At 39.1% G+C, this 16,406-nt stretch overlaps 1 protein-coding gene across 12 annotated transcripts in view; it reads right to left on the bottom strand.

The window, feature by feature from the left end:
* NR1H4 (nuclear receptor subfamily 1 group H member 4) overlaps positions 1–16,406 on the bottom strand; it is a 90,549-nt gene that overhangs the window by 44,875 nt on the left and 29,268 nt on the right. For 8 of the 12 annotated variants that reach the window (NR_135146.2, NM_001206977.2, XM_047429943.1 and 5 more), the window contains one exon: positions 8,397–8,762. Coding sequence is in view for 11 of the 12 variants with exons in the window: in NM_001206977.2 (NP_001193906.1) it covers positions 8,397–8,762 (366 nt within the window). In the remaining variant the exon portion in view is untranslated. Of the gene's footprint in view, positions 1–8,396; positions 8,763–16,043; positions 16,181–16,406 lie in introns of those variants that run through there. The other 4 variants (NM_001206993.2, NM_001206992.2, XM_011539041.3 and 1 more) reach the window with 1 other exon arrangement.

The raw sequence follows: 16,406 nt of genomic DNA, 5'->3' as shown, positions 1-16,406 counted from the left end.
TGAATGAAGGAGACAGCCAGGGCCAGACGTGATGGAAGAGTGTGCTCAGTACCCCAGGATGGTGTCACAGAGACCTTTCCCACTGGTGACTGAAGACCAAATACAACAGCACTCCAACAGATCTCAGACTGTGTCAACAGCTGTGGCACCAAGCCCCACCCAGCCCCACAGCTGTGGGGCCAGAGCCCCACTCCCCAGTGCCCAATCCCTCCACAACCCTCCCTTAATCCTGGTACTTAGATAAACCGCCAGAAGAATTTTGGCGGGGGTGAATGGAATGATACTGAATAAAATGAAATAAAGTTTCCACCGAGCTCTAGACTGAATTAAATCCAATTTTAAAAAATAAAGTTACATTTCTCTCACATAGGGGCTGTGAGTTGAATCTTGTGCTCATTCACTACACAGCTTCCAGTTAATTCGTACACCAACCCTTAAGAGTCATGGGTCAAGGCCAGGCACGGTGGCTCATGCCTGCAACCGCAGCACTTTGGAAGGCTGAGACGGGTGGATCACTTGAGGTCAGGACTTCAAAACCACCCTAGCCAACATGGTGAAACCCCGTCTCTACTAAAAATACAAAAATTAGCTGGGCATGGTGGCTGGTGCCTGTAATCCCAGCTACTTGGGAGGCTGAGGCAGGAGAATCACTTGAACCCAGGTGGAGGTTGCTGTGGGCCAAGATTGCCACTGCGCTCCAGCCTGGGTGACAGAGCGAGAGTCCATCTCAAAAAAAAAAAAAAAAAAAAAAGTCATTGGTCAAGAACAGTGTTCAGCAAACTGCAGCCAGCCCACTGTCATTTTTTTTCCTGCCTATTTTTGTAAGTATAGCTTACTGAAATATAGCTATGCTCATTTTCTATGTGGCTGCCTTTGCACTCCAGTAGCAGAGTTGATTAGTTGCAACAGAGGCTGCTGTGGTGTGAAGCCTCAACTTGTTATTGTCTGGATGTTTACAGAAAAAAATGTGCCAATCCCTGGCATAGAACATGGGCCCTGCCTGGTTCCAACCCATCCTCTCCCTTGCATGCTTGTCCTTTTCCTGACACCATGGGGGCAACGTCTCAAATCAAAATCAATGGAAAAATTTTGTCTTTCTCTGCTCTTAAAAATATATTTATGTCCAAATCCAGCTTCTCCTTCCTAAACCTCCCCAAAGGTTGGCTCTCTTCTGACTACTTTCTCCATCTCCTTGCCTTCTGTGATCCTGCACTTCCTTGTAGACTTCTATCTTGATTACTTCTATTCTATATCCTTTGTGGGCTTCTCTTCCCCTGACCACCTTTAAGGTAAGTGTTTTCCAGGGTTGTCCTTGGCCCACTGGTCTCACTCTATTTACCCTGCCATGCCCCAGAACTCTTCGCAGGTGGACCAAGTTTCACTTGGTCATAAGCACAGTTCACAAGACAGAAAGAAAAATTCTCTTCTAAGGAGGTAAGCTATCCAAGGTTAGTGACTTTAGGGATTCATTCCCTTGGCTTAGACACTACTGATTCTTTAACAGCTAAACGGACTGCTTCGTTTTCTTCCTCTCGCCATTGAATTAGTCAATATTACCCTTGAGCAAACAACTGAAGAGCAGAACAATCACTTAGTGGACAACCAATAAAAGGCATCATAGCCTAGTGGTCAATCATACAGGCTCTGGAGTTAGATTATAAGCTATAGTTTTGAAGCTCTTATTAGCTATGAAAACTTGGGTAAATAGATTAACAACTTATGCTTCAGCTTCCACTTCCATAAAATGGGCATAAGGCACTCAACACCACTAATCATCAGGAAAATGCAAAACTACAATGAGATATCACCTCACTCCATTTAGAATGACTATCAATAAATCAAAAGATAACAAGTTTTGGCAAGGATGTAGAGAAAAGTCAACCCTTACTGCTGGTGGGAGTGTAAATTTGTGTAGTCATAATGGAAAACAGTATGATGTTTCCTCACAAAATTAAAAATGTAACTACTATATAATCCAGGAATCCCACCACAGGGTATATCTCCACAGGAAATGAAATCAGTATGTCAAAGAGATATCTGCACTCCTATGTTTATTGCAGCATTATTCACAATGGCCAAGATAGGGGATCAACCTAAGCGTTCATCAATGGATGACTGGATCAAGAAAATGTGGTATGTATACATAATGGAATACTATTCAGCCATAAAAAAGAATGAAATCCTGCCATTTGTGATAACATGGATGAGCCCGGAGGATATTACATGAAATGAAATAAGCCAAGCACAGAAAGACAAATACCATATGATCTCACTTATATGTAGAATCTAAAACGTTGTTCTCATGGAAATAGAGAGTAGAATGGTAGTTATGAGAGGATGAGGAGGATGGGGGGAGAAGGGGACAGTGAAATTAGTCAACGGGTCCAAGAATACAGTTAGATAGAAGGAATATGTCTGATGTTCTATTGCATAGCAGCATGACTAGAGTTAATAATAATGTACTGTGTATTTCAAAATAACTAGAAGAGAGGTTTTTTAATATTCTCATAATGAAGAAATGATAAATTAAGCTGTTAGATGTGCTAATTACCCTGATTTGATCATTACACAATTATACATGTATGAAAACATGTTGTACCCCATAAACATGTACAATTATTATGTCAATCATAAATTTAAGAAAATAAAATAAAATGGACATAAGATATGAGAATTAATAAGTGTATTACTAAAGTATAGTAAACACATCACACAAGCTATTAGCACTGGCATCTCTATATCTTAGCTTGTTTTGGAAATGATATGCTTATTCCTCATTTTAAAATAGACACAATAATTCCTACTTTCCATAGTTGCTGTAAAGATCAGAGAGAATGTTTCCAAAATGCCTACCATAAGAATTAGCATGTCATCGGCCGGGCACGGTGGCTCACGCCTGTAATCCCAGAACTTTGGGAGGCCGAGGCGGGCGGATCACGAGGTCAGGAGATGGAGATCATTCTGGCTAACATGGTGAAACCCTGTCTCTACTAAAAATACAAAAAATTAGCCGGGCGTGGTGGCAGGTGCCTGTAGTCCCAGCTACTCGGGAGGCTGAGGCAGGAGAATGGCGTGAACCCGGGAGGCGGAGTTTGTGAGCTGAGATCGCGCCACTGCACTCCAGCCTGGGTGACAGAGCAAGAATCCGTTTCAGAAAAAAAAAAAGAATTAGCATGTCATCAGCACTGAAATTTGTAGGTTCAAAAGTATGTATATTGGAATTTTTCTTTTGAATCAGATTTTCCGAATAAATTATGCGTGTTCTTTTCTGCTTCTTTCTCTCCCAGCAGGAAACATGACTTAGATTAGGCTTTGTGTCTTTCCAGTCCAGGTTTCAAGTCTACATTTTATTCTACTGAATTGTGCTTTTGATGACCTCATGGAGAGTAGCATTCCTCCTATTCTCTTTTCCCATCCTGTGGGTTTCACACTCACAACACAAAACCAAGATGCTTGGCCAGATGAGTGGCCTTAGGAAGATTTTGGATATGATTTTTACGCCAGTATTCTCAAACTTTAGCATGTAGTGCTGGTTAAATCACAGATTCTTGGGCCCCTTTCCCAGAAATTCTGATTCAGTAAGTCTGGGGTAAAACCCCACATTCTATAAATTCTCTAGTGATACTGATACTGCTGGTCCAGGTACTATGCTTTGAGTAGCACTGGTCTACACAGACAAGTTGAAGTGGCTTTAGGTAATCTGAATCTATGTCAAATAAATCTTGTTAAACAACTCACGATGATTTGAGCATCAATATTTATCAATATAAGCAGAAAACACTCACATTGCCATTACACGATATGTAAATCAATTCTAGGACCATAACAATAATAACAATAGACATCTATTGAGTTTTGACTATGTGCCACACTTTTTTCTAAGGCCTTTACACATATTAAATTTATTTTTTACATTTTTATTTTATGCCAGTCTTTAAAAAACTAATAATAGCATTCTCTGGATCATATCTATGATCATCTTATACTGATATTCAAACTAATCACCCTCAGTTTTGTTTGTGCCCATTAGCAGCAAGAAATATGACTTGTTTGTCAAGAACTATGACAGGCCAGGCACAGTGGCTCATGCCTGTAATCCCAGCACTTTGGGAGGCTGAGGTGGGTGGATCACCTGAGGTCAGGGATTTGAGACCAGCCTGGCCAACATGGTGAAACTCCATCTCTACTAAAAATACAAAAATTAGCTGGGCATAGTGGAGGGCGCCTGTAAGCCCAGCTACTCGGGGAGGCTGAGGCAGGAGAATCACTTGAACCCAGGAGGCAGAGGTTGCAGTGAGTGGAGATCATGCCATTGCCCTCCAGCCTGGGCAACAGAGCAAGACTCTGTCTCAAAAAAAAAAAAAAAAAAAAAAAGCTTTGACAAAATGGCAAAGGCAAACTTCATATGCCTGAGATGTACCCAGCTCAGGGATGGCCAAATGGAGCTCTGGATGAACAAAGGTTTGGTTGAATCAATTCTTCGAAGAGAGAAAAGCAGTGGAGAATTGAGGCCTCATATGACACATGGTCTAGTGATACCAAACTCAAAAGAACCTGAGTTTGGTAACATTTTGGGCAACAAAACCATACAATCTAATATACTTCATTATTTTATTGGTTTTGTAGTTTTGTTTGTATGTAATTTTGTAAATTTGTGTTTGTTCCTTTGTGTATAGAAATTTTTCAGTGTATAAAAGATGATACACAATATAATATAGCTATTATAATATAATATAGCTTATGCTATAATTGCTTGATAGCATAAGTAATTCATTAAAAGCAATTTAAGTCAACATTAGAGGCACCCAAGAAATATTATAGCTTCCCTCAAGAAATCTCCAGGTGTAGCTCAAGTTTGAGAAGCTCTATATTATACTTTTCACTGAATAGTCTCTCTCAGTGATTCTCAACTGGGGTGATTGTAACCCCAGAGGACATTTAGCAATGTCTGTAGACACTTTTGGTTGTCACAAGTGGGGGGTTGCTACTGGGATCTAGTGGATAGAAGCCAGGGCTACTACTAAATATCCCACAGTATGTACAAGACATCCCCCCACAACAGAGTTTTTCAGCCTAAAATGTCAATAGTGTCAAGGTTTAAAAACCATGGTCTAGCTTTCCCTTTCATCAGTTCATAGCAACAGGAGGGAGTACATGAATTATAGTCACTTTTTAACTTATGAAATTTATAAACTTGCTTAGAAGATGAAACAGGCAGATTAGAATATTATAAATATGGTACTACAGATTCACAGAATTTAAGGAAGGACTTCAGAAGCCAGCTAATACAGTGTCCCACCTAACATACAAATCTCCTGTACTCAAACCTGTTTATCTAACCTCTTTTTGAATTCCTGTAATAATGAGAAGTTCGTTACCACCTAAGGCAAAAAGCCAATCTCATTGTTGGGACAATTCATGTTAGTGCTAAAAAATTAATTCTTGAATTAGGCCTCAAAAGATGCCATCCTATAAGCTTCATCTTTTGGTCCTAATTTGCCCTCCAGTGTAAGAGCCCCAGCCACTTTTTGACTAGAGCTACTATAAAGTTTGTTCTTTTTCTTTCCTGTAGATCAGCAGTTGGTTTCTCAAACCTAACTGTAGAAGTTTTATTTTTGTTTATTTTAATTCCAGTTCAAGGCTTGTCATTTGGAAACTACTTTATTTTTTCCTTCCTTCCTTCCTTCCTTCCTTCCTTCCTTCCTTCCTTCCTTCCTTCCTTCCTTCCTTCCTTCCTTTCTGTCTTTGACGGAGTCTCGCTCTGTCATCCAGGATGGAGTGCAATGGCACAATCTCAGCTCACTGCAACCTCCACCTTCTGGATTCGAGGAATTCTCCTGTCTCAGACTCCCAAGTAGCTGGGACTACAGGTGCGTGCCACTATGCCCAGCTAATTTTTGTACTTTTAGTAGAGATGGGGTTTCACCATGTTGGCCAGGCTGGTCTTGAACTCCTGACCTTAGGTGATCCCCCCACCTCGGCCTCCCATAGTGCTGGGACTTACATAAGTGAACCACAGCGTCCGGCCTATTTTATTTTTCTAACCAATTAGAAATGTTTTCCTGCTTTATTCCACACCATTTTAAAATCTTTAACATAAGCAGATCTCGATCTCCACAGCTCTGCCAGCTCAAAAAGATCTGCCACTTCATATAGGAATCGAGGGTAATATTTACTTTTTATCATTCGGAGATGGGAAAGAATTAAGTATTGTAAAAAAAAATTTTAATGTGTTTTTGCAAAGTAGAGGCTGATTAATTACGTACCAGTGATGAACATGGTTTTTCATTGTGTCATTCAAAAGACATTCCATATTTACTATGTACCAGGCACTGTGCTAGGTGCTATGAGTAGCAATATAGGTAGAGAAGACTTAATCTATGCTTCCAACGAATGTATAAGTTCATTTACCTATTCAGACGTGACTCTCCACAAAAAGGTTAAGGACATTCTGAAGGCCATAAGTGGGATCTTTTAAGTTTTCTTTATAGATCTGCTTTAGTTTGTAAAGTTGGTGTACAAATGCTTCTTTATTTAAAAAAAATTCTAACAATATCATACCCAGTTTTTAAGAAGTGACTAATGTGGCTTTACACAATCTGATCATTTGAACTTTCAAAGGTTTGAAATGTCCTTGAGCCGATCTTATGTGACTGGGTCCTCTGTTTATTTCTGTGGCAACCACCAACATCAGGGAACCCCAGTGTGTCACACCATCCGAAAGATTCTGCTCAAGAGATGGTTTTTATTCAGTATTCAATGTTCTAGATGTTAGCAGAGTGCCTGACCCATGGTAGGTGTTCCCAAAATATTTGTTTAATGAATAAATACCACGATTATCTGTGCCTTAGTTGAGACAGTAATCACATGGGATTTTACATTGTCTTTTTTTTTTTTTGGAGACGGAGTCTCGCTCAGTTGCCCAGGCTGGAGTGCAGTGGCGTGATCTCGGCTCACTGCAACCTCTGCCTCTCGGGTTCACGCCATTCTCCTGCCTCAGCCTCCTGAGTAGCTGGGACTACAGGCATGCACCACCAAGCCCAGCTAATTTTTTTGTATTTTTAGTAGAGACGGGGTTTCACCGTGTTAGTCAGATGGTCTCATTCTCCTGACCTCATGATCCACCCGTCTTGGTCTCCCAAAGTGCTGGGATTACAGGCGTGAGCCACCATGCCCGGCCTACATTGTCATTTTTATATTTCATTTATTATATTTTATCCATCTTAAATGGATTGCAATTTTGTTATGATTTCTCTATAGCATCCATAACAGAACTGTATTACTGCTAAATAAAATATATATTTTTTGAGGCAGGGTCTCTCTCTGTCATTCAGTCTGGAGTGCAGTGGCATGATCACGGCTCACTGCAGCCTCAACCTCCCGGGCTCAGGTGATCCTCCCACCTCTGCCTCCCAAGTAGCTGGGACAACATGCGTGCTCCACCACACCTGACTAATTTTTGTATTTTTTGTAGAGATGGGGTTTTCCCATGTTGCTCTATCTAGTCTCGAACTCCTGGACTCAAGCGATCCACCCACCTCAGCCTCCCAAAGTGCTGGAACTACAGGCATGAGCCACCATGCCTAGGCTAAATAAAAAAAAAAAAAATTATTTTTTGAGATGGATTTTCGCTCTTGTTGCCCAGGCTGGAGTGCAATGGTGCGATCTTGGCTCACTGCAACCTCCACCTCCCAGGTTCAAGCGATTCTCCTGCCTCAGCCTCCTGAGTAGCTGGAATTACAGGCACCTGCCACCACACCCAGCTAATTTTTGTATTTTTAGTAGAGACGAGATTTCACCGTGTTGGCCAGGCTGGTCTTGAACTCCTGATCTCAGGTGATCTGCCTGCCTCGGCCTCCCAAAGTGCTGGGATTACAGGCATGAGCCACCATGCCAAGTTAAAATATTTTTTTGTAATATAAGCTATTATTACTTGGCTCTTTCTTTCTCTCTTTCTCAATTAACTAAAGTACATGAAAAATATTTTTAAATATTTATTGAATAAAGTTGTATTCTTCTAGATCTTAATTTTAAAAGAGATGTGTTCATCACTTTCTTCTTTCTTTTTTAAAAAAACAACAAAAACAAACAAAACCTACAAAAAATTCAATTTAATCATAAGTTCCCTTTAGCTACGTGTGAGGTTGTGAAAAGGAAGAAAGCTAAACACTCTAAGCTAGATACTCTAACAGTCTTAAACATTAAGCTAAATACTCTAACAGTCTTTTCCTACAGATCTTTGACTACACAACAAAGGTGAGGATGTAGGAGGAGGTAGGCGCACAGGAGGAGAAAATGGGAAGTTGCCTGGGAAAAGGGAAGCAATTAGTTCAAGGGATTTCAACAACCAATATAGTAAAACCTGAAGGAGAAAACTGCCAATCAAAGATGCTTACCTTTACACCCCTCACAGGTCAGTGCATTATAGTGGTATCCAGAGGCTCTGTCTCCACAAACAACACACAGCTCATCCCCTTTGATCCTCCCTGCTGACGCGCCCATGCGGGGCTTCTTTGTTACAGGCATCTCTGCTACCTCAGTTTCTCCCTGGTAGAGAGTCTCAGCTGGCATACGCCTGAGTTCATATATTCCAGGAGAGTACCACTCTTCAGGCTGCTGGGGGTAGAAACCCAGGTTGGAATAATAGGATGACGAGGAAATCTGTGGTTGAACTTGGGGAAACTGAACATTGCTGTATTGCGAGTATGGTTCCACTTCCAGGTTCTGTCCCAGAGGACCTGCCACTTGTTCTGTTAAAACACCTGAACAAAAGTGACAACAAAACTGGAATGAATGTCATCATTCTGGAAATTAGAGAGGCAGTTTGGCGTAATGGTTAGGAGTGTGGGCTCTAAGAAAAGATTGAAACATTTAACTACATAAAAGTTTACAACTTCTTTAGAGTATATATATATATATATATATATATATAAAATTAAATGACAAATTAAAAATTCAGAAAAATATCTGCAACATAGAGGACAGACTCATCTCATTAATGTATAAAGAGCTCCTGAAAACCAATAAGAAAATATTTGAGAAGCTATGGAAAAAGGGATAAAGGAAAGGAATAGTCAATGTTAGAAATATAACCGTGTTTTGTAAACAGAAAAATGTGCTCACCTTTGCCAATAATTAAATTTAAATTGAAACTAAAACATTACAGTTTTCATCTTCAAATGTGTGAGGGTTTAAAAAGTTTAATAATACACACTGTTGGGGAAACAAATATTTTTGGGGGGAAATTTGTCAATATTTTCCAGTTTTTTAAACTTCAATGTCCTTTTCACCCAGCATAAATTTTCCACTGCTTGAAAATTTATTTTAGAAATATGCTTGAACCTCTATGAAAAAGTATTTTGTAAAAATATTCACTTGCAGCACATTCGCAAGAGCCATAAATTGGAAACGATCTAAATATTCATCCATAGGAGTCTGCTTCAATAAATTTGTTACATCCATACACTATTAAGTAGATGTAAAACAATTATTTAGATTTCTATGTGCTGTTATGGAAATTTTCTACAATATGGTGCTATATGAAAAAGGTAAGCTATAGACCAATGTGTATATTCACATCGGTATTAAACACCAACTCTGTGTGTGTGTGTGTGTGTGTGTGTGCGCGCACGTGCCCACGTGCAAAGACAAATTTCTGCATGATACAGAAGAAAGTAGGTGGTGGTGACTGTGAGAGGTGATATTTTTACATTATATTCTGGGATAGAAGATTGCATAATTTTTTTTACTGTTTGTAGTTTTTGCCATGTGTATATGTATGTGTTATTTTAATCATTATAAAACAAAGGAGGAGCTTTAAAAAAAAGAATACAGTGCCTGCAATCTATCTACTGGATTCAAATTCCTGCTCTGTTACTTACAATCTGTGTGCAGCTGGCAATTCCTTAATGTCTTTAAGTTGCAGTCTTCTTCTAATAAAACAGAGAATAATAACACCTACCTCATTGGGTTGATGTAAGGATTATATGAGATAATGTGTGCCAAGTGCTTTGCTAAATGTTTGGCACACAGAAGTGCTCGATAAATTATAGCTGACTTAAAATAGGAATAATAACAATTATTCTTACTACCATCATTATTAAAGGAGTCCCTTATTTAGAAAACCTCTAGGTAATAGAAAATCATCAGGTTATGAAAATGCTTCTATTTCCTGGAAACATCAACTATGGCTCTTTAGAAAATAAAAAATTGAAATTATGCAAATGCTGAAAAAATAGACATAAATAAGAGATAGGAAAGTTTACAAATGTGTCTGACTCTTCAAAGTGTTGTCAGACAATTCTAGACCAAAATTCCAATTCCATCTCTTATGAACAGTGGGATTTTGAGCAAATTATTCAAACTATTGATAAATCTTGGTTTTCATGGCAGCAAGGTTGGGATGATAATATCGATATCAAGAGTTAGTCTGAGGATTGAGTGAGATGATACAGATTCACAGTTCCTTATCTGAAACCCTGGCAGTCGTATGTGTTTTAGAAGTCAGAATTTTCAGGATTTCAGAACAGAATACAGTGCTATTTATATATCCCTCCCAGCACAGTCTGGAACAGAACCCAGAATCAAATACAGCAATATTTTCCACAGGGAAACGTATGAATATTCACAGCAAGTGCAATAAGTAAAGACCATAAATAGTTTCACATTCATTCAGGTCAGGTTCTGTCACCAAAAAAGTGTGTGCCAAACTTTTAGAAAAACGTGGTTTTTTGGGGCTTTGGGGATTTCAAATTGGCAATGCTCTTTGCTGTGCTCAAAAGATAGTTGAAACGATTACTATAATTATTATGATTACTATTACCACATTTTGCAGAAAACTTTTATAGAGTTCTTCGTAGTAGCAGGCACTTGTATGTTCTCATTTATTCCTCACAAAACTCTATGAGGTGGGTAACATTATTAACCCCCACTTACAAATGAGTACCATGAGGCACATAGTAGTTAAGCAACTTTACTCCTACCTACCTAAGTAGATGAGACTTGAGCTCTAGGAGTCTAATCTCAAAGCCCATGCACTGAATTGCTGCTCTCTGGGGGTAATTTCAGGTGTGTGATACTTAAAAACATGATCTTCAAAGCCCCTCTCTGCATCCTCCTACTTGTGTTTGTTACCCCCTTCTCGGCCTCCGCTTGCACATAACCTATAACTGGGCCTGCAAGCTTCTGCATGACTCTACCCTTGCTTTCTTTTCCAGCCATTTTGCATGTTCGGACATCTCTGTTTCTTGAATGTGCCTTGCCGCTTCCAGACTCAGGACTTCTCCCACCTGCTGCTTCCTGAGCCTGAAATGGTTCTCAACACAGCCAACCCCTTCCAGGGCTTCATCTCACTAATGTCCACTTACCTCTAAATTCCCTGTGGGTATTGCTTCTCTTGGGAAGTCTTCCCAACAGAAGAGGTTTCTAGGTCCCTGGCAGTCATGTTCCTGAATCTAGTTACATGCCATTTAAAAACCATTACTTACCCTACCTGGGCCTCCCTCTGTTCATCTGTAAAGAGAAGACTCCACCCTAGATAATCTTCTAGTTCTTCTTTATATCTAAAAGTCTCCATAAGTATATGACTAATAGTTTATGAACATTAGAATTTAGGGCTTTTCTACACTGCCAAATTTCAGAATATACATATTACATGTTGAAAATAATGCTTTCTGCATTAACCCAGGAAATGATTGACAGAACACATGGTATACAGTATCTGTACAAAAATCAATTTCCTTTCCTTCTGTGTGACTTATCCATATAAAAACAGCATAGGCCAGGTGCAGTGGCTCACGCCTGTAATCCCAGCACTTTGGGAGGCCGAGGCAGGTGGTTCACAAGGTCAAAAGATTGAGACCATCCTAGCCAACATGGTGAAACCCCGTCTCTACTAAAAATACAAAAAAATTAGCTGGGCTTGGTGGTGCACACCTGTAGTCCCAGCTACCTGGGAGGCTGAGGCAGGAGAATCACTTGAACCTGGGATGTGGTGGTTGTAGTGAGCCGAGATCGCGCCACTGCACTCCAGCCTGGAGACAGAGCAAGACTCTGTCTCAAAAAAAACAAAAACAAAAACAAAACAAAATAAAATAAACAAACAAAAAAACGAGTATGTCTGATGGACAAAATATTTTAGAAATGGTGCCTTGTCTTATGACCGCAAAATGGAAGGAGAAAAATATGGAATTATTACACAAAAAGAAAAGATAAAATAGAAGCAAAATCCTGATCTATTTCATCACCAAATACGATGAAAATTTCTGGAGTGAATGGAATTGAAAAAAACTAAAAAGTATTAAAAGCATTAGTTTCACGTACACTTAGATTTTATCCTCTAACCTATCTTATTCCCTTAACTCCCCTTCCTCCCTTAGCCCAATTTCTCTCTGCCACAGGTCTAGTAAGGTTAAGTAATTTGCCCAAGATCAAAAACCGATAGAATCTGGATTCTGTAGCATCCAAGGAGATGTGTACTTTTTTTCTCCTCATATGACAATTCTAAAATCTTTAAGCATTATTTCAACAAAACAATTATTTTCATAATCAAGAAATACAAAGGAGTCCCAAGTCAAGTCAGATAATAATATCCCTGTCTTTCAGTCTCTGGAATAATCTAGATCAAAATGGAAAGCTTTCACAAAGATATAGATAATATCATGCTAAAACAGTAGAACATCAGTAAAAATATGAGAACCGTACACAATAATATTAAATAATACTTCTATTCTTGGCCAAGTGCAGTGGCTAATGCCTGTAATCCCAGCACTTTGGGAGGCAAAGGCGAGTGGATCACCTGAGGTAAGGAGTTCAAGACCAGCCTGACCAACATGGTGAAACCCCGTCTCTACTAAAGATACAAAAATTAGCTGGACGTGGTGGCAGGTGCGTGTAACCCAGCCACTCGGGAGGCTGAGGCAGGAGAATCACTTGAACCTGGGAGGTGGAGCCTGCAGTGATGAGCCAAGATCATGTCATTGCACTCCAGCCTGGGTGACAGAGCGAGACTCCATCTCAAAAAACAAAAAAAACCTTCTATTCTCAAAGCACATTCACTTCTAGCATTTCATAGTGTGTCTCCTAAATCTCCACAAATAGAGAAGTAATTACAAAGGAACTTTACAACCAAAGAACCAGCATGGCCAAATATTCCAAAATGGTTGGACTAGAACAACTTCCACAGTTAACTGACCATGAGATCTTAACTGGCTAAGCTTTTCCTATTTCAATCTCTCCTATAAAAATGGGACTGTTGCTATCTCAGAAGGTAGTTCTGAGTGTAAAATACGGTTGCTGAGAAGCAGTTTCGGTAAGTTGAGTGTCATTAAAAGACATGTTTCCTAAAGAACCTAGCAAAATCCTGATTTTAATCATAGTTAATTGATAGTTAATAAGTAATTATTAACACAGTCTGTCTTGATGATATAAGTATTAGGATAGTTCTTTCATTACAAATTATTATTTATAAACATATGCTCATGTTCTCTCTCTCTCTCTGTGTGTGTGTGTGTGTGTGTGTGTGTGTGTGTGTGTGTGTTATAAACACTTGCTATTTAGCAGTCACTGTGTTAGGGTCTGAACATATGAAAGTGAAAAGACACATACGAAGGCCCAGCCTTTCTCTTGTTTGTGTGTTTTGGGAAGTGGGGATGTCAAGGGTTAGGACAAAAATAAGTAAACAAGTAAACAAATACAACATTGGCAGAAAATAAGATGTGGAGGGAGTAGAGGTAGTTCGACTTTAATTTAGAGTATGCTTTCTGAAAAGGTAAATTTATTTCTATTTTGATACAATTTAAAAGGGAAAATACATATTAAAATTTAGATTTAGGAATCTTTATTTTGGAATTAGCCTATCAAAGAGTATGAGAATTAGGATTCCTTTGTGACGGTTCTCCATGGAAGTTTAGGGACGAGTTCTTAAATGAGAACACATGGATGGACTCCAGGGGAGTCTGAGAAGCCCTGAAAAGAAAGTAAAATTCTTCTGGTTAGACAGTCTCCAGGTTTCAACACCTTCTCTAAAGGAGTGCCATCTGAGGGAGCTTTCTGAGGTGATAGAAGGGTTCTGTACCTACCAATATGGTAGCCACTAACCACATAGGGATATTGAACCCTTGGAATGTGGCTAGTGATACTTAGAGTCTGACTGTTAAATTTTATTTAATTCTAAGTTAAAGTTGAATAGCCACATGTGGCATATTAGCCAGTGCAGCTCTAAGGAGTTTGGGACCAGAACCACTGTACCCCCAAATGGGAAATCAGGTTTGCATAAAAACAATGGCACTCCCCCATAATCTCACAGTGAGTTTCTGATGCTCCTAAGAAAGGGTCCAGTTTATATCCAGTTTTTCATTCCTGGCACAATGCTGACCATAGTAAATGTTTAATGAATGTCTGTTGAATTGCAGTGCCTAGAAAAGTCACTTTTTTTTTTTGCCTTCCTTTATTTCTTAATCCATGGTTTCTTCACTAAATGGCAGGGCTTTACTGCAAAGTTGTTTGCTGTTCCTGGCATCAGGCCTTTGTGATGTCAGTGCCTCTCCCTGCCTTGTCAGCTGATCACCTACTTCTGGTCACCTACTCTGGGAGGTCTGCCCCAGTTCCCCCAGGTGGAATTCACCTCTCCTACCTCTGTACACACTTCTATTATGGCACTTATTGGAAGCACATACAATCATTTCTTTTGTTTACAGGCTTATCTTCCACGCTGAACTTGAGATGGTATGAGATACTACCTAAGAGTGCCCTCTGAGCAGACAAATCTGGATTCATTTCACCCACAACTTGTTAGGTATATGAACCTGGGAAAGACATGGAACTTCTTTAAGCTTCTGTTCCTTCCTTTACAAAGCTGAAAGAATGTAGTGCCTGCATGAGAGGCTGTAATAAAGATGAACTAAGACAAAGAATGGAAACTGCATAGTGCCTGACACCACATACACATGTATACTTTTGTGATTGTTGTGATTAGTCTGTGAACTCTTTGAGGGAAAATATTAGACTATATTCTTTTCTTTATATTCCTGGCATCTAACTCAATGGCTGACACATAGTAAATGTTTATTAAATGTTGGTTAAATTGAAGTAAATAGAAAATTTGCTTCCCCGGCCTTCCAACTCATTTCCATTTCTAAATACAGTGTCGGTCACTTTTAAACATCGCATTTAAACAAAATGGTATGCTACCAAGTCTATGACCAAAAACATGTTCACAATTATCATTATTATAAAAATGACTCGAGTTTTTTCTTGCTGGAAATTTAAAAGATGAATTTCTGTTTTAAAAAATATTAAAATATGATTTACATTATACTGTGTTTTAATTATAATCGATGTTTTAATTCAGAGAAAACCAAGAGCCTGGGCCTAAAGCTCAACTCTGTGCTTATCTGATTTTTCATGGACTATTGGGAGAAACCTGCTGTGAAACTACTTCATTAATTCGTGTTTCCCAAACTCTTTTCATTTTTTTTTTTACCACAACCTACGGTTTTAGATACATTTTATCTCATATCCCTCGTACATACTTATACACATGTAACTGAAACAAAATTTCATGAAATACCACTTGTCTTTACTCCTTGAGGGACACTAATATTTCTATTCTATTATATTCTAATCCAGTTTTTAATGCTGGTCACGAGACACTAAATAAATTTTGTGATCCCCTGGGAACTGAGACTTGCCATTTTAGGAGCACTGCATTAAATAATGTCTGTTAAAATGTTTTTTCAAGTGTCCATTGATATTAATATTAGAATTGTCTAATGTTTGGTTTGGAAGAATAGTGATAATTTGACATAAGAGTCTATGAAGAATATTAGGGGAAACATCCTTGGATTTCATCCCCATAAGATATTCGTCTGTTTAGAACCCTATAAAAATCACCCCAACCCAAACTCTCATTCCAGTCTTCTGGGTCTGACTGAGCCACTATCTTTGACAGACATCTGTTACTGTCATCTCCAACCAAAGTCCCCAGATTTCCTCAGTCCAGTTGCAAGAGCTCGACCTGAAAGCACCTGTGAACAGTGTCCTACCTTTCGCGGGCTTCATACTCATCATTTCCATGAAAAATCCTGACGGCGTACAGCTGCAGTGAGGACTAATTTGAATTGGATTTTCTAACCCCTGAAACTGCATTACCATTCTTAGCTTATTCACAGCCACTGAAAATGAGACTAGGTAAGGAGTGAGAGAGGACAGAGGTTGTGTGGTTTACTGATTAACTTCATTACGGAGCAGAATATTTGTAAATGTTTATGAGGAAAGTTCTTAATGCCAAATTGCCTAGTAAGCTGGAAACCAGTCTCTTAGATAAACATTTTGGGGGAGTACTTTTCCAGTTTAAGAACTTTTAGAGGGTGGGTTTCTGTTCACTGGCTCTAAAACTGGACTTGGAG

The sequence above is a fragment of the Homo sapiens genome, chromosome 12 (assembly GCF_000001405.40).
Source record: "Homo sapiens chromosome 12, GRCh38.p14 Primary Assembly".
Taxonomy (NCBI): Eukaryota; Metazoa; Chordata; class Mammalia; order Primates; family Hominidae; genus Homo; species Homo sapiens.
Note: the sequence above shows the minus strand (reverse complement) of the source record. Positions and strands in the feature narration are given on the sequence as shown.